This window comes from Homo sapiens, chromosome 14, assembly GCF_000001405.40.
Source record: "Homo sapiens chromosome 14, GRCh38.p14 Primary Assembly".
NCBI lineage: Eukaryota > Metazoa > Chordata > Mammalia > Primates > Hominidae > Homo > Homo sapiens.
This window is the reverse complement of record NC_000014.9, coordinates 66904828-66924778: the sequence shown is the minus strand read 5'-3', so window position 1 is coordinate 66924778 and position 19951 is coordinate 66904828. Positions and strand designations below refer to the sequence as shown.

The following is a 19951-nucleotide window of genomic DNA, read 5'->3' as shown; positions in this document are numbered from 1 at the left end:
TCAACTCTGCAATGGTTGTAATGAGAGCTCAATGAATGAAAAAAAAATGAGATGCAAAATCATAAGACAAAACAGGAAGGTTAATACAAATCAACTATTTGCTTGACCAATCTGTCTAGATTTTAAGACTCAAAGTGATTCTCTTAAGAGGTAATTTTAAGCCAGGCAATTTATTTAAAGATATCTGATGAAATTGGTAAGACAAAAATAACTTCTGAGCAATGACTTTCTTGCAAGTCATTTGATAAAAGTTCATTGTCACAAATGACAGAATCTTAATGATAGCAGAGTACTTTAGTCACAGGAGAAACTCTATTAAATTCCTTGATGGATATACTCAATGGCACTCACACTTTCACAAGAAAGCAAGGCTGAAAATCCATCAGAATAAAACAACACATCTTCCATATGTTACAGCCTATCTCCAAGGAGAGGAAGTAGAATACATATTTGGAAAACCATTAATGCAAAAGCCTCTTGTCTTACCCGTTCATCTGTTGAATGATGGGAATAATTGATGAGACCAGGGATGGGCTGTTCACCGTGTGCCATGACAACAGCAGGACTGGTGTAGAATGGATGCTTCTAATGCACAACACATAACAACTATGAATATAGTGACAGGAAAACATGAAACTATACAAGCAAAATGACTAAAAAGGAAAAAAGGTAAAAACAAATGGAAAAATGAAATGCTAACATTTTCCAAATGTAGAATGACAGAATCAGCTTAGATTTTAAATGCCATAAGCTTCTCTCCTAAGATTGAAATTTATGGCACTTCTTACTCTTTTAATTCAGAGTAAAGGAAAAGGAACATATAATGATTTAAAAATGCCTGTTTCACCAATTGGTTTCATAAAAAAAAAATCACACAAAACTTAAATACTTACTAGCCTTTAGTAAGCACTCACTGGATCACTGAATGGACACTTCAAAAGGATTTCTCGATGATTCTAATCTATATATTATTAAAAAAAAAACCTCACAATGCTCGTAGCCAAAATAACTGGATAATCCATAAAATCTGATAATTATGTCATATAGCAATTAAATTTTCAATCTTTATGCTCTTAATGAAAAATCATAATTTCCAGAATTGATATGCTACTTTCTGTAGATATTAAGGCATACTAGGTTGACTTTAGTAGGTATGAAGAATAAACCATGTTCTATAACTTTAAGACAGTTAAATTTACTCAAGTAACTCATGGTAGTATATTTACCCATGGAGTTGCCCAAAGAGAATTTGTAATACTTTGATATTGTCCTAATAATATTTCTTAAAGTAGAAATGCAAATATATCCATTTCCTATCTTTACCACTAGGGTAATTTGTGTCAAGCAATGTTTGAATAAGTTATTAGTTAAGAAAAATTCAACAATCGCTGAAAAGCTTTGTCCCTTTAAAAATCTTTATTAATCTTTCCCAACTCATTTCTTGAATCATCTAAGGTCTTTTACCTTCAGTTTGCTGTTCCTTTAAGAATTTGTGACATTTTGATACTTTGAATATATAAACATTATATATTTAATATGTCCACAAAAATGACATCTCCAAAGAGTTCTAAAATGTCACGTTGTTTATCATTGTAGCTATTACTTCAATAGGCAACAGCTCATCAGTAATGCCTCAGAACTCAGAATTAACTTCAGTGACTTCAAGGAATCTATATCAAGAAGGAAACATAGTAGTGGAGTGTCATGGACATCCCACTTATTTTTTTAGGGTTCTCTGAAGAAGTATTAAATGTAGGGAGGGATGCGATGCAAAACAGATGAAACCAGTACATTTACCTGTGGGTCCTTTAGGCCTCTGAGTAACTCTCATCAGGCTTACCTTGGCAGCAATGGCTGCTGCAGTTATATGTGATGAGGAACTATCTTCTGTTGAAGCAACACCACTGTCTTTCTTCTCTTCTTCCTCTTCCTCACATTGAACTCCTTTGTCTTCTGTCTGTTTATGGGGGCTGGTAGTAGGAGGAGGGGAAAGAGGGGGAGGTGGGGAAGGCAAATCTTCAAGTTCATCATGCACCTCCTTTACTTTTACAATGGCATCACGTAAAAGGTCAATGGCATGAGGTAGAGCTGGCAGTATGAATTGAAAGCATTCCTGTATGCAAGAGAAAGAAAAAAAAATTAAGATGAAGCACTTTTGTAATTATATAAGATGGTGGCAATCAAACTGTTTCGTGATTTTGGATTTGCATTTTCCTCCATCAATCTCAGAATCAATCATATGTAAAACATTGTCTTAGCAATATGCCATGAAGTAAGCATAAAATATGTTATAGCATTCTCCATAAGCTAAGGAACTACAGTGCTACAATGTTGGTCATATGAAACATTAAAAATGACCACTCTTTTAATTGAAATTAACTTTTAAATGTTTATAGGAGTATGTGCTGTGAAATGATCTAAAATTTGTAATATTTTTGTCATGAACTGTACTACTCCTAATTATTGTGATGTAATAAAAATAGTTACAGTGACAAAAAAAAAAAAAACATACACTCTGCTGACTATTCCTTTTGCTATGCAAAAGCTCCTTAGTTTAAATTAGGTCCCAGCTATTTATCTTTGTTTTTATTGCAATTGCTTTCGGGTTTTTGGTCATGAAATCCTTGTCTAAGCCAATGTCTAGAAGGGTTTTTCCAATGTTATCTTCTATAATTTTTATAGTTTTAGGTCTTAGGTTTAAGTCCTTAATTCATCTTGAGTTGATTTTTGTATAAGGTGAGAGTTGAGGATAAAGTTTCATTCTCCTACATAGGGCTAGCCAATTATCCCAGCGCCCTTTGTTGAAAAGGGTGTCCTTTTCCTACTTTATGTTTTTGTTTGCTTTGTCGAAGATCAGTTGGCTCTAAGTTTTTGATTTTATTTCTAGGTTCTCTATTCTGTTCCATTGATCTATGTGCCTATTTTTATACCAGTACCATGCTGTTTTGGTGACTATGGCCTTATAGTGTAGTTTGAAATCACGTAATGTGATGCCTCCAGATTTGTTCTTTTTGCTTAGTCTTGCTTTGGCTATGCGGGCTCTTTTTTGGTGCCATATGAATTTCAGAATTGTTTTTCTTAACTCTGTGAAGAATGATGGTGGTATTTTGATGGGAATGGCATAGAATTTGAAAATTGCATTTGGCAGTATGGTCATTTTCACATTATTGATTCTACTAATCCGTGAGCATGGGATATGTTTACATTTGTTTGTGTCGTCTATGATTGCTTTCAGCAGTGTTTTGTAATCTTCACAATCTACTCATCTGACAAAGGGCTAATATCCAGAATCTACAACGAACTCAAACAAATCAGTAAGAAAAAAAAAAAAAAACAATCCCATCAAAAAGTGGGCTAATGACATGAACAGACAATTCTCAAAATAAGATATACAAACGGCCAACAAACATATGAAAAAATGTTCAACATCACTAATGATCAGGGAAATGCAAATCAAAACTGCAATACAATACCACCTTACTCCTGCAAGAATGGCCATAATCAAATAATCAAAAAACAGTAGATGTTGGCATGGATGCGGTAAACAGGGAACACTTCTACACTGCTGGTGGGAATGTAAACTAGTGAAACCACTAAGGAAAACTGTGGAGATTCCTTAAAGAACTAAAAGTAGAACTACCATTTGATCCAGCAATCCCACTACTGGGTATCTACCCAGAGGAAAAGAAGTCATTATTCAAAAAAGACACTTGCACACACATGTTTATAGCAGCATAATTCATAATTGCAAAATCGTGGAACCAACCCAAATGCCCATCAATCAATGAGTGGATAAAGAAACTATTTTATATATATATGATGGTATATTACTCAGCCATAAAAAGTAATGAATTAACACCACTTGCAATGACCTGGATGAGATTACAGACTATTATTCTAAGTGAAGTAACTCAGAAATGGAAAACCAAACATCGTATGTTTTCACTGATATGTGGGAGCTAAGCTATGAGGACGCAAAGGCATAGGAATGACACAATGAACTTTGGGGACTTATGGGAATTTATGGGAAAGAGTGTGGGGGGTGAGGGGTAAGACAACAAATATGGTGCAGTGTATACCTCTCGGTGAAGGGTGCACCAGGATCTCACAAATCACCACTAAAGAACTTACTCATGTAAGCAAATACCACCTGTACCCCAATAACTTATGGAAAAATAAAAAAAAATAAGACTGAGGACAGGCATGGATGGTCAGAATCAGATTCATTCTCTAAAAAAAAAAAAAGCATGCACTGCATTTTAAAAAAAGTAAAATTTCTATATACAACTTGGTAGTTGAAAGATGCATTATGAGAAAGACAGGAAAGATAGGAAAGAAGCCCAAGAGTTTGAGGCTGCAGTGAGCTATGATTGTGTAACTGCATTCCAGCCAGGGTGACACAGTGAGACTCTGTCTCTAAAAATAAATAAATAAATACATTCTAAAAACTTGTATACTACCCTCTTTTCCATCCCCTCCTCCCCAAGAGAAAACTTACATACTCACATACACACATTTAATTCTTGCGTTATTTCTACAACTCTTAAATGATTTATGCAAAAATCCTGAAGAAACTAGGAGCCCTTCATCCCTTGTTCCCAACCTCCTGAGTCAAGACCATTTCTTGATGTGATTCATGCCAAACACTTAAGACACTGCTGTATCTTGGATGGGTCAAATCTAGTTAACCATTTTTTTTTGTTTGTTTGTTTTGAGACGGAGTCTCATTCTGTCGCCCAGGCTGGAGTGCAATGGCGCCATCTTGTCTCACTGCAACCTCCGCCTCCTGGGTTCAAGCAATTCTCTGCCTCAGCGTCCTGAGTAGCTGGGATTACAGGTGCCTGCCACCACGCCTGGCTAGTTTTTTTTTATTTTTAGTAGAGATGGGGTTTCACCATGTTGGCCAGGCTGGTCTTGAACTCCTGACCTTGTGATCGGCCCACCTCGGCCTCCCAAAGTGCTGGGATTACAGACCTGAGCCCCAACGCCTGGCCAAATCTACTTAATCTTTAATCCAAAAGTAGAGAGAAGCAACTGGGGGCCTTCCATGCAGAAAGTGGGCTCAGGAGGCTAAGTAAAAGAATATGAATATTTATATCCAAGGCACTCAGGAACTTTTACACAGATGCAAGAAACTTATGTCAAAGTGGCCACAAGATTGTTTAATAGGAGACAGACAAATGAAACTCTGTGTTTACTGCTAGACACCAAACCTTTGTGTGAAATCTTGAATTTATGGGGAGGGAGAGTAGCCTGTACCTGTCTGTTATTTTCCTAATCCCAACCCCTCATTCTTGAACTGCAGGAGATTGAGCCCGTTTGGGCTTCGGTGACCCCACCACTGGGGTATGTTTATTTGATGGTTGATTTTGCTGTATTCTCTACTTCTTTTCCCATCTTCTAATCATTTTTTTAACACACATGCTGACTCTTTTCCTATCCCTTCTCCTTTTCTTGGGAAAATACAATGAATAAAGATTTATTGGTACTGAAGTTGTTTAAAAAAAGGCAGGAAAGAGGTTTCATATTTTTAGTTAGAGCAGGGCAGTAGAACTAACAACCGAGGTGAGAACCAGATTATTTTGTCCAGAGAGCTAAAGTTCTAACTACCATCATAAAGTATAGCTAGGTAACATTGTACAGCAAGCAAAATATAAAATAAGCTTGCAAAGAGCACTGCATAAAGTTAATATAATCTGCTGCTGAGGTGCTCACTATTATCTATAACGTATTACCAAAAGAGAATAGGTAAGAACCTAAAAATCAGAATATAAGGCCAGCTATAGCTGCAGAAGAGGTGGAGGTCTTTCTCTTTCACATTTGAAGTAATAGCTTAAAATCTAAGATGTAAAAAAAAAAATCTTAAAAATTTTTGGAGGGTTACATAATATCGGGAAAGATGTTTAATCTTTCGACCTATCTTTGTATGGCTCAATCAGTTTACTCTTTAAAGATTGTGTGGTAAAGAATTTAACCTTGACCGAGGAGAGGTCTGGTCTTTACACTCAGCTTCTGGGAGTGATCTCTAGGTCCTTGGAATTTCACGCCTAATAGGAATGTCTTTGTTGTCCATGGACTTTGGGCACCAGAGACAGTCTAACAATGTTAGACTGCAGTTCAGGAATGAGGGAAAGGGATCAGGAAAAGAACAGACAGGTATAGGCTACCCTCCCTCTCTCCCCATTAATTCAAGATTTCACACAAAGCTTTCGTGTCTAGCAGTAAACATGGACTTTCATTCATCTGTCTATTAAATAATCTTGTGGCCACTTTGACATAAGTTTTTTTGCACCTGCATAAAAGTTCCTAAGTGACTTGGATATATACTCATACTCCCTTTCTTGGCCTTCTGACCCCACTTTCTACATAGAAGGCCCCCAATTGCTTCTCTCTACTTTAGGATTAAAGATTACAGGTCAGCCACACTGGCAGTAAGTGTTTGAGTCCCAATAAAAGCTCTGGATACCAAAGGCTCAGGTGAGCATCCCCAGCTGGCATTACTCCATGTGTGGTATCACAGATTGACGCCAGAAGGGTGACATGTCCATGTCTCCAAAGAGAGAGGACAACAGAAGTTCCTCATTTGTTACTTCTGTTAGACTCTGCCCTATGCACTTTCTCCCTTGGCTGACTTTAATCCGTATTCTTTCCTTGCAATGAACAATAATCATGAGTATAACAGCTTTCTGTGAGTTCCATGAATGCTAGTAAATTATTAAACCTGAAGGTCATTTTAGGATCTCCTGAATTTGCAATTAGGGTCAGAAATGAGCAATTTTGTGGAGTACTCCACATTTGTAGGTGGCTATTTTTTGCAGTTGGCTAAAACTCCTTACAGTTGGTGTCAAAAATAAGATTTTCTAGAAAGACCCTGACTCACTGAAATACATGGCTTAGGAAGTGAAGAGAGGGTGTGGGATGATGAACCTTTGATCCCTGAGTGAAGACAGTGTCAACCACAGCATGGAATTGCTTCTTTACTGTGATTAGTTAATGGAGATAATTCCCAAAAAGTTATCTCACTGGATGCATAAGGAGATGCAAAATATAAAGAAAGAAGTTAAACACACAATCTCTTGGTTATTGTTATCTATGCTAGCTAAAATGAAGGTAAGGGATACAATCCTACTCTAAATGAATAGGAATAGACTGTGCAGGAGGAACTTGCTAAACTAGTATTACCAACGGCAATCTGAATCAGCACAGTGGCCAAACCTTACAACTCTTTAAAAGGTGAAAAAGTTTGGGTATAAATAGAGAGAAGGAAGAATGGTAGCTGAGGGTAAAGGAATGAATGGATAGGTTATGCAGTAAGGGAAATAATACTGCATTGGTATCTCCAAAGAGGTTCAGAACAAGAGATGACATTGTTTCTTAGCTCAACTGTAACAGATGCTTGAAAGAGTGAAGTCATATGTTGCTGAGACCACTCTTATTTTTGGAATCCAACAAGCCTGCAAACCTGAGTAGCATCATTCTGGGAGACATTCTGGTCTGTTAATGTCTGAGAAGGACTCTAAGAACGTGCCAGTATCTTTTGACTTTTATTTTTTAGGTTATGGCTAAGTGTATTGGGAAATTCAGTTAAAGCCTCCTCAGGATATAATGTTAATAGAAAATGACTGGCCTGAGGAAGAAATGCACTTAGGTAACCATCAGCTAATTTCTATGATATATAGTTCTGTACAAACATATCAATAGTGGTAGATTAAAGGTGAGAAATTAGTAACTTAATACAAAATTATGAAAATGTATGTAATGGCTTTAGTGGATGGATTAGCTATTTCTCTAAATATATCCACACCCTACACTGCCTTGGCCAAATCTTAGGCATATTCACACTGATACTACTGCTGTGTCTGTCACATAAATACCATAGTAAATATAGATGCCCAGACAAACATGACTGTGTTGCTATACAATAAAAAAAGCCTTGGCCAAAGGCCAGGGGGTAGCTTGTACAGCAAAGAATTAACAGTACCCAAAGAGAGTCTGAGGGTAAAAGTAGTTGCCCTTAACTAGTTGGAGGAGATCTCTAGATGTTCAGAATGTCATGTGTGACAGCAGTGTCTTTGTTTACCTGATGGCTTTGGCCACCACACAATCTAACAATATGACTTATGATGGGGACTTTTGGCCACATGGTGTCAGTTCTGGAACATACTGGAGACTAATGCTATCAATCCAATCTCTGGGAAGCGCTAAAGACTAAAGGTCATTCACATGGGCAAAATATAATGAACTGCAAAAAAAACAAAACAAAACAAAAAAAAAAACCAAACCAAAAAAAAAAAAAAAAACTCTGGACATCAAAAACTCAGGTGAGCTTCTCTGATTAAAAATATTACAAGTATATTATCATACACGAATGCCAGGAGAGTAAAGCATTGATGACTCTACAAGGAGAGGACAAGGGAAGCTCTCTGTGTTTGGTAGTATTCCTGGACGTTGTCTTATGCACTTCTTCTCTTGGCTGATTTTAATCTGTATCCTTTCCCCATAATAAACCATAACTGTAAGTGTAACAGTTTTTAGTGAGTTCTATGTCTTTCCATTGAATTACTGAACCCAAGAGTGACTTTGGGAATCCTGCAATTGGTATCAGATGTGAGGGCAGTCTTGTGGAGTGCTCCAACTTTTTGGCTGGCTAACTTTCACGGCTGGTCAAAAGCTCTTACACTAAACCATTAATATGTCCAGGTGATTTACCTGAGATCCTTTCTTGCTACCTGGCAGGTTAATTATGAGCGTTTTCCCTCTGATTCCACATACAGGCCTGAAAGAAAAGAGAAAGTAGATGAACACTAAATTGCTATGAATGCCCGGTTTAAATACATTAAGAACAAATAACAATCATTTTACTTTACATGTGAACAACTGTTTTAGGAATAAAAGTGTTATCTTAAGACATTCACTGCTTGCTATACAAATTAGGCATTCTGGTTGAAGTTTTTACATTATGGTTAGTATGGCAAATTGGAAAAAATGTACTGAATGTGGAATCAGAATAATTTACCTACTTTTAAGCAATCTGACCAAGTCTAATTACCTATTTTGTCTAACTTCAGCTTCTTCATATTTTATACAATTGTTTAAGAGTTTGAGATAGTGCATTAAAAATGCCTAGTGATATTTATGTTCAAAAGTCTAACACAAAAAGCACTTAAGATTTAGATTTGAGCTCTTGCTTCTCAGGAAGTCTATAAGTTTTAAAGTAAAACAAGGTTTTTCACAAGTGAATGGCAGAAGGGAAGAGGTTGGAGAGCTCATTCATTAATAGACCCACTGATAATCACAGGCATTTTAAGCTAGAAACATCTTTCAGAGATAATTGTCAATTTCCAGGCTACATTTAAACTAACTGGTTAAGAAACATAAAAAAATGGAAAAGCAGTGGAAGACTGGAGTCAAGGAGCAAAGGCCTAGATTTTCATATGAGAGCTGGAATTATGCTGTCATTGACTGGTTGTGTTACTCTGATCTGGTAACATTATCTCATTTTCATAATTTGAAAACAAAGAGATTATGCTATTTTTAAAATTTTACAGTATTTTTAAAGTAATGTAAGAACACTCTTCCCCAAATGTCTTGACTGAGTTTTTCTTTAACCACTCTTATTCTCTGAAATAACCTAAAACTGTCCTATATTTTATTACTTTTTCTTCTTGTCCTACTTACAATCTGAAAGAGAAGATTGCCATTTATTTACAACTTTCCATATATCTGAAAATGTTTACTGAATCACCTGCTGGCCTTCTTCTTACTAGAAAAACTATTCATTATTTCATTAAAAACTTTAAGGCTATTTTCTGACCTTTAATCTTAATGATATTTCTTCAAAATCTGTTTTAGTTCTGGCAGTCAGAATTGGATAAAGTACTTTAGTGACAAAATGGCACTGGGTAATTATATAGTTCTTAATATGTTCCTGTTTACTTAGGAATTTTGTTTTTCTTTCCAAACTAAAATGCTACATTTTAGCTTTTTGTCAATATGATAGCTAATTGATTATAATATCACCAGTAATATGATTGGAATGTCATCAATATTAAGTTCTCTATTTTCATGTAAGCAAATCTAGCAATTTATTGAATAAATCTAGAATTTTAACTAAGAGCACAATAATCCCTCGTAGAATATAGTATTAGCTACATCCGGAAGTTTGTAGCACCTTTCCTTCTAAAAACTAGAAATATTACCATAACAATTACTGCATATTATCCTCCCAATATTTCTATGAAGGAAAGACAAATATAGTTACCTACAAAATATGGAAAAATAATTTGGAGTACAAAGAATTTGATTAATACATAGCTCTGGGATTTTTGTAATTTTATCCAGTAAGTTCATTCCATCTTGTGTTTATTAATGTCCATTAACTTATCCTTACTGACATCACTGTAACAATTTTATCACGTTATGAAATGTGTTGGATTTTATTTTCCAAGAATGTTGTAACTCCCTCCATTAGAAGGTTAGTGGCAAGTGAAAACTTAGTTAATTCTTTTTATTCCAATTTTTGGTAATCAAATCCAGGCTTTTTATGTCTCCAATAATACTTCACTTGCTCTAGGTTGACACCTTAGTAGCAGTGCTAATATAACCAACAGTTACATCCAGACCACTATTTTTCTGTGTGTGTGTATGTATGCATATGTGATATAATTAAAGGTTTCTATACAGCCAGGAGATTACATTTGTTATTTCCCATCAATTTTTTTTTTTACTATTTTGTCAAAACATTACATCAGAGATTTATGTATTCTTTCTCATTTCCCTGATCTCTTTGAAGTGTTTAAAAATTAATTTTAAGACATACTTTTTCATCTATAGAATGTCCAGAGTCACTGCAAGAAGAAAGTACTCCTCCTCTATATAATGCTTTAGGATTAATAAAGTATTTTTACAAACATTATATCATTCAATAATTTAAAAACTATAAGCACCAAAGTTTTAGCATATTCCAATATTTATCAAATAGCTAAAGATCTGTACTAAGTATTATGGAATAAATGCAACCCAAATGCTTAAGAAGTTTATAATTGTAAAATGTAGAACATTAAAGCATATAAACAACTACAACACAAGATAGTAAGTAGTAACACAAATTGGTATAAAGTACCATAGGTTAAAAAAAAGTAGCCAGTGTGGTGGCTCATGCCTGTAATCCCAGCACTTTGGGAAGCCGAGGTGGGAGGATCACAAGGTCAGAGTTCGAGACCAGCCTGGCCAATATAGTGAAACCCTGTCTCTACTAAAAATACAAAAAATTAGCCGGGTGTGGTAGCAGGTTCCTGTAATCCTAGCTACTCAGGAGCCTGAGGCAGAAGAATCGCTTGAATCTGGGAGGCGGAGGTTGCAATGAGCAGAGATTGTGCCATTGCACTCCAGCCTGGGTGACAGTAGTAAGACTTCGTCTCAAAAAAACAAAACAAAACAAAAATCAAAAAGAAGGGCAGTTTAGGAGGAGGGGAAAAATAATGCAAAAGCATAGAGTTAAAAAAAGCACCAAGTGCATTTTGAGTATATTGTCTCTCACCAGCAAGCATCCACTTGCTTACTTATAGAGGAGTAATATGAGGCTAAGAAGGACCAGTGGAAAGATGTTGCTGTCTGACAGATTAGTATTTTTCAATTTGTGGTCTCTGGACCAGAAACATATGCATCATACAGGAATTTGTTGGAAAGGCAAAATGTCCCATACCACCCTTATCCCCTCCTCTCTGTTGCTGATATATTGGATAAAAAACTATGAGGGTGGGGTCCAGTAATCTGTATCTTAACAAGTTCTCTAGTTGACTCTCATCCATGGAAAAGTTTGAGAACTGCTGTGATAAACTGTGCTTGAGTTTTGGTACTACTATTTACTATTAGTGTAATCCTGTCTTCATTACTAAACTTCTTTAATCCTTAGTTTCCATAACCTGAGTTGTTAAAAGGGTTAACATAATCTTTGAAATATAAGGTACAGTATAATCTAGTACATAATAGGCATTAAATAAATATTTGGTCCATCTTTCCTTAAAAAGTACATTAGAATTAAGACAGTAGAAGTCATGAATTCACTGTAAAGAGCTAGAATGTATTCTTAAGGCATTGGAGATGATACATGGATTCTGCTATTACTAATATTACCAAGCACTATTTCAGGAATAATAGTCTAAGATGAACTGAAAGGGGATGACAGAAGATATAAAGAAAAGAAAGTCTGATAACAAAAAACACTAAATACGAGTTGACTCATTCTTAGTTTATTTTCTCTCATGTATCTGATTCAGCATGTTACATAGCGCATTGTTTTTGTTTATGTATATAAAATATAAAGCATATTTTAAATAAATGTAAATGTATATTAAGCAAAAATCCTTTGGGAACAATAGGAAGGGCATTTTAGTCTTAGGTAAGGAAGGGTAGGGGTAGTTAAGAGAAGGCTTCTATAAGGAAGGAAAAAATCTAAGCTTCTGCCTGAAGAACTGGTAGTTGTTACAGAGGTAAAGAGAGAAGGAAGAACATTCAAGGCAGAGAAAAGGGCATGTACAAAGTACTCAGAAGCTAACAATAGAACCTGATATGTGTGGTAAAAACAACAACAAGTGTGGGTGGAAGCTGATGCAAAAAGCAGCAGTGACAAATTATATATAGGCCCTGGAAAGTAATCTTAAAGAATTCAGTCTTTATCTACAGTGGAGAGTGAGATTTTGCTAAAAAATTTTGAGCAGAGAAATAACATACTAATATCTGTATTTTCAAAAGATATTTCTGGCTGCAAAGTAGAAAGTTGTTTGGAGAGGTGCAAGAAAGGAAGCAAGGAATACAGTTAAGAGAATGTCGAAAAATGTAACAGGTGAATTAGGGTGGTTGCAAAGGTGATGAAGAAAAGCGAACAGGTTATAGTTAAGAATATTCTGACCCACAGACTATATAATGGGATAGTTACCTTTTTATTCCAATTTTTTTGAAAGTTTAATACAAAAAGAGTAATTTTTAAAAACAGGACATATTTGGATGAAAACTGGTCCTAATCTAGATTTACACTAGAAGTTCAATATTCTATGTTAAACTTGATCACAACAGGCATGAGAATAGAAGAATATGAAAAATATTGCTTCTCTTAAAATTTCTGTTAAATATTAAATACACAACAAGGTATGACGTGTATAAAACAGACAATAACAATAAAAATCCCACTGATGTGCCTACTACCTAGGTGAAGCAATAGACTATCACTGATACTTTCAAAGAGTACTGCGTGCCTTGACTTGATCTCAAGTCCCTTCTTCTCCAAATAACTATTATCCTGAATTTTAAAACATTCTTACTTTTTTGTAAAACAGCTCTATCAATATAAAATTCATATACCATACAACTTACCCATTTAAAGGATACAATTCAATAGTTTTTAAAGTATATTCTCAGAGTTGTACAATCATCCTGGTAATCCATTTTAGAACATTTTCATCACCCTCCACAAAAAAATCCCATACCCATTAGCAGTCATTCCACATTTTCTTGCAACTCCCAGCCCTAGGCATTCACTAAGCTATTTTCTGTCCATACAGACTTGCCTATTCTAGACATTTCATATAAAGGGAAACATATAATATGTCACCTTTTGTGACTTGCTTCTTTTACTTAACATGTTTTCAAGGTTCATCCATGTGGTGCTTATATAAATCATTCACTTAAAAAAAACTTTTCCACATATGTTTATCTAAATATATTTTCATTTTAGCATGCTTTTGAAATTTATATACAAATGAAATCATACTGTGCATATTCTTATACAACTTGGTTTTCTCACTCAACACTGTGTTTGTGAAACTCCTCCATGCTGATATGCATAGCTATAGTTCATTTTCAATGCTGCACAATATTACATATGTGCACAGCTTTCTCTAGGACAGTGTTCTTCAAATTGTAGGTCACGACCAATTAACAGGGCAGTAAACTGACTTCAGTTGCCATAACTAGCATTTTTTAAAAAAGAACAGAACAGAAAATATCAGAATGCTTTCCTGGAAGTTAGGATAAATATTGACTCAGAAAAGTTTGTGCCTTTTGTATATGTATGTGTGTGCATATTGTTTATGTAGATATATATGCATATATGCATACCCACATACATAGAGACATATATATACATATGTGTGTGTGTACTGAATTACAATGTTAAGTACATTTCTTACTGTGGCTTATGGTCAAAAACATTTGAAAGCTAATGTTCTAGGGTAAATAGCTAGAAGCAGATTTTATGAGTCACAGGAATAAGCAGATGTGCAGTTTTACTGTATAAAAGTAATTTTCCATAGTGTTTGTACCAATTTACATTCCTATCAACACACTGTTGCTGCTTCTCCTGACAATGCTAGATGTTGTCAGTGTTTTTCTTTTTTAATTTCTTTTGGCCGAATAGATGACAGATATAAAGCAACTACAATAAAATGTTAATAGTAGAATCTTAAGTATTCACTGTAAAATTCTTTCAATTTGGTATATGTTTGAAATTTTTCACAATAAAAAGGTTGAGATAAAGTCTCTTTATTTGTAATTTTAAACTTAAATCTAAACATTTTAGTGTTCATATATGTACTGGCTTATTATTTCTGTTCTGCAGTTAGTGTATTTCCGTCTGTTAGTGCAGGGTGCCCCAAAATTATAAACTTCTAGAGGGTCGATTCTGCATAGAACCTATTGTATAGCACCTAATACAGTATCTTCACCAGTTAGACATTTATTAAATCCATTTTGATGAAATGAGGAATGCTCAGAAACTGTTACAGTTACAATCTCTACATCATGAAATAAACAGTAAATATGAAATTTGGTCCCTTTAAAAAATACACCTTGGGTTTATAGGACAGCAACTGATGTATCCTGATCTTCTATCCAACAAACTTGATGAACTCTTCCATTACTTCTAAAAGACTACTGATTTTTTAATAATTCCCATGTAGTAATCATGGGAGATTACTTGTCCTTTTCAATGCTTGTATCATTTTTTTTTTACTTTGTACAATATTGGACAGAAGTATACTTGGACTCTGTCTTATTCCTAACTTTAAAGAGAATACTAACAATATCTAATTATTAACTATATTTGCTTTGTCAAATTAAGGAAGTTCCCTTCGAATCATTGCTTGCTAAGAGTCGTTATTCATAAACAGGTTTGGAATTTTATCAAATGCTTTTTCTGCATCAATTGAGAAGGTCATATGACTTTTCTCCCTTAATCTGTTAATGCAGTGATTCATGTTAATCAGTTAACCATCTTTGTGTCCTTGAAATAAATCCATCTTTATCCTGATGTATCTTTTAAAAATATACTTTTAGATTTGATATGTTAGTATCTTATTTTTGAAGTTTTCACATCCATGTTCACAATGAATATTCACCTACATTTTCCCTTTTTTCTACTATCATTTTCTAGTTTTGTAATAAGATTATCCCAGACTCATAACATGAATTGAGAAATGTTTACGTTTTACTACACTCAGGAACAATTTAAATAATATTGAAATCATTTGCTCCTTGACAGTTGTATAGAATATCCCGTTATTATTTGATTAAATTGACTTCATTTTTAAGAACAGTTTTGGATTTACAGAAAAATGCAGAAGATAGTATAGGGAGTTCCCATATTCTCTGTACCATGTTTCCCCTACATTTAACATCTTGTATTATTATGGAACCTTTGTGGCAATTAATGAGCCAATATTGACACATTATTATTAACTAAAGCCCACAGTTTATTCATGCTTCTTACTTTGTACTTAATACCCTTTTTCTGTTTCAGGATCCCATTCAGATTACCAAATTACATTTAGCTGTCATGTCTCCTTATGCTTTTCTTGGCAGTGATAGATGCTCAGGCTTTCCTTGTTTTTGATGACCTTGATAGCTTTGGTAAGTGCTGGTCAGTTTTTTTTTTTTTTGCAGAATGCCCACTTCTGGTGTCTGTCTGATATTTTCTGATGATAAGATTAGGGTTATGGGATTTTTGGAAGAAGACTATAGAGATATACAGCCATTTTTATTACATCATATCACAGGTATATGCTATCAATCTGACTAATGAATGTTGATACTGATCTTGATCTCTTAGCTGAGGTATTTGTCAGGTGCTCCCCATAGCAAAGTTACTCTTCCCCAACCTGACCCCAGTTCTGTACTCTTTGGAAGGAAGTCACTGTATGTAGCCCATGCCTAAGAAGTGAGGAGTTATGTGCCCCTTCCTTGAGGGTGGAGCATCTATATAAATTATTTGGAAATTATATGCACAGGACATTTGTCTCTTCTCCCTCATGAATTAATTTGTGCAAAAAGTTATTTGTATAAGCATGGAGTCATGGATGTTTATTTTATACTTTGGATTATAATAAGATACTGCTTGTTGCTTATTTTGTTGCTCACATTTTTACATCTTTGGTCATCGGGAGATGTCAATTGACTCCTATGCCCCTTTAATATATACCCGCCAATGTGTGTTTTGTTGTAGTTTGTTTTCTTGAGTGCTTCCTTACTTTTAAGCACTACGAGATATACCAGGTTCATCTTGTATATTTCCTGCCTTGGTCCCAGAATCAGCCACTTCTCCAAGGAACCCAGGCTCCTTTTATTGCCAAATGGTAATAAAAACTAAGATTTCAGCATTAATTATATCATTTCATATTGATATGTCATTTATTTTAGACCCTCTCTGCTGACAAAGCAAAGGAATACGTGTGTAAACTAACCTGTGTGTGCATATATATATATATAAAACAAATATTTCTGTATGTAACCATTTGTATCTATGTTAAAGCTAGATATGAGTTCATACTGATGTCTCCAACTCTAATTCATTACCTAGGATCACATGGATCATTCTAGCCTCTTCCCCTTGCTTGTACATATGTGATTTCCCACTGTGACAGTGAGAAACCTGTCTCACTACCTGCCATCCATTTATTAACTGTTCAATTCCAGTATACATATATATTAAAATTAGAATTGTTAACCCATACCTCCATGGGATACAACTTTATCAACTAAAGCGCTTATGTGCAGTTGCTTTTACCTTTAGTCTTACAGACTCCACTCATATCCAAAGTTATTTAGGTCAGTACTTTTCCCCTCCACCCGCTTCCATGAGGTTGTTTTATTTATTTTGTAATGCATTTAAATTCTCTTGGCAGAGTCCTCATTGCTTTCTGGGATCCATCAAATGCAATTTGCATATATTAAGCCTTCCTTGTGATAAAGTTCTATGAGTTTTGACAAATGTATAATGTCATGTTTCCGTATTTCTACTTCATATCAAATAGTGTTACTGCTCTAAAAAATCTGTTCAGCTTTATCCATTCACCTATATCTTTCTTTTCAAAAACTCTGGGCAAACACTGATCATTTTACTGTTCTTATAATTTTACTTTTACTACAATGTCATAAAGTTAGAACCATATAATATGTATTCTTTTCACACTGGCTTCTTTTACTCAGCAATATGCATGTAAGGATGTCTTTTTTGGTTGCTTGATGGCTCATTTCCTTTTATTATTGAATAAGAGTCCATTGTATGGATGCAGCATAATTTGCTTATCCATTTACCTATTGAAGTAAATCTTGGTTGATTCCAACTTTTGGCAATTACGAATAAGGCTGTTAAAAACATTTGCATGTGGATTTTTGTGTGGATGTAAGTTTTCACATAAATTGGTTAAATATCTAGAAGTTCTCTGTATATTTTGGATACAAGTCACTTTAATGGTATATGATAGAATGACTAGACAGACAACTAGCAAGCATATAGAAGAACTCAGCAACACAAATCAACAGGATCGAATTGATATTTGTAGAACACTCCAGCTGACAGAATAATACACATTGTTTTTACCAATATAGACCATATCTGTGACCATAAAAATAAACCTAAACAAATTTAAAAGAATTGAAATTATAGAGTAACTTCTCTGACCACAGTGGAAGCAAAGTTGAAATCAGTAACAGAAAGATAACAGGAAAATTCCTATACACTTGGAAACTAAACCATAAACTTCTGAATAATCTATGGATCAAAGAGGAAATCTCAAGAAACCAGAGACTTCTGGTTTCAAAATGGCAATGTACGAGCAGGCTGACTTCACTCCTCTCAACAGGAAACCAAAAGCAAATGAACAGCACAGAGAATATCACTAGAAATATCCCAGAACTCAAATATGAAGATGAGATGTGGCCCTGGGGCCAGAAAGAAGTGAAAAAACTCTGAACAGACAGTAAGAATATCAGATTTCCACATCCATGATGTTCCTCCTCCCCATCCTGCCTTGCACGAAGCATGTAGAAAATTTTCCTCTAACTTACTGTTTTAACATTGGAAAAAGTGAGATCAAGGTGAACAGCCAGCTTTCCATCATTTTGCATGCCCTGGCAGTAGACCTGTCCCTGCCTTAACCCATGGGAAGCATCACAAGTGTCTGAAGGAACAAATATACCTGAGGATAGGCAGAGACAAAGGGAGGAGGTGGGATTATAGTCTCTGACCCTGGAAACTCTGCTCATAAACTCAGCCAAAGGAGATGCTAAATCATGATGGCTGTTCAGCAGTACCACGCTGTAGGAGGTGCATCCCACAGGTTCCCTGGGCACGAAACACTGGCTTAGCTTTCCTACACTGGAAGGATATACCATGTTTCACCTCCCTCACCCGAGAAGGGTAGCATTCTGATCATTTACTAGAGCTTAGGTGAACCTGGGGATAATGTGTCACCTAGGACTGAAAATGGGGAAGTGGTAAAAAAAAAAAAAAAAGCCTCGAATCAAATATATCCTGAATTGAATAAAGAAAACATGATACATACACACCATGGAATACTATACAGCCATAAAAGGAATTAAATCATGTCCTCTGCAGCAACATGGACGTACCTGGAGGCCATTATCATAAGCAAATTCATGCAGGAACAGAAAACCACATACTGAATGTTCTCACTTGTAAGTGGGAGCTAAACATTTGGTACACATGGACATAAAGATGGGAACAATAGACACTGGGGACTACCAAGGTATGAGAGAGGGAGCGGGGCAAGGGCTGAAAAACAACCTTTTGTATACTACGCTCATTACCTGGGTGATGGGATCATTTGTACCACAAACCTCAGCATTATGTGATATACCCATGTAACAAACCTGTACATGTACCCCTGAATCTAAAAGTTGAGATTATAAAAAACAAACACAAAAAAGCGAAACAAGCCAGACAGAACACTGGAATAAATATAACTAATCCTCCAATGCAAAGACATGTACATACATCCAAAAGAAACAATAGTAAACAGGAAACCATGATCTTCCCAAGTGGACAGAGCAATGAAACAGTAACTGGCCCTAATGAAACAGCAATATGTGAGCTCCCTAACCAAGAGCTCAAAATAGTAGTTTTAAGAAAACACAGTGATCTCCAAGGTAACACAGAAAAGCAATTCAAAATTTATGATAAAAATTTAATGAACAGATTGAAATAATTAAAAACCAAACATTAACCTTGGAACTGAGATATATATTTGTTCAACTGAAAAGTTCGTTAGAAGCTCTCAACAGTAGAATGGATCAAGCAGAGGAAAGAGTCAGTGAGCTCAAAGATAGGCTATTTGAAAATACACAGAGAAGAAAAAAGCAAAAAGCATGAAGAGCAATGAAGATCACCGGTAAGATACAGAAAATCACATCAAAACAACAAATCTAGAAATTATTTTATTGATGTTCAAGAGGGAGTTGAGGAAGATCAAGGGGTAGAAAGCTTATTCAAAGAAATAATAATAGAACTTTCCAAATCTTCACAAGGATATAAATATTCAGGTACAGGAAGGTCAGAGAACACCAAATGGATAGGACCCAAATAAGACTACTCCAAGGCATACAATAATCAATCAGAGGTCATGAATGAAGACAGAATCCTAAAAGCAGTAAGATGTCT

General features: G+C 35.2%; 1 protein-coding gene across 20 annotated transcripts in view; it reads right to left on the bottom strand.

The window, feature by feature from the left end:
• Positions 1-19951, bottom strand: part of GPHN (gephyrin) — a 1227209-nt gene that overhangs the window by 810577 nt on the left and 396681 nt on the right. For 10 of the 20 annotated variants that reach the window (XM_047430879.1, XM_011536340.4, XM_017020913.3 and 7 more), the window contains 3 exons: positions 8710-8776; positions 1841-2113; positions 487-585 (listed from right to left, as the gene is read on the bottom strand). In XM_047430879.1, coding sequence (XP_047286835.1) covers positions 487-585; positions 1841-2113; positions 8710-8776 — 439 coding nt within the window. The remainder of the gene's footprint in view (positions 1-486; positions 586-1840; positions 2114-8709; positions 8777-19951) is intronic. The other 10 variants (XM_011536344.4, NM_001377514.1, XM_017020918.3 and 7 more) reach the window with 1 other exon arrangement.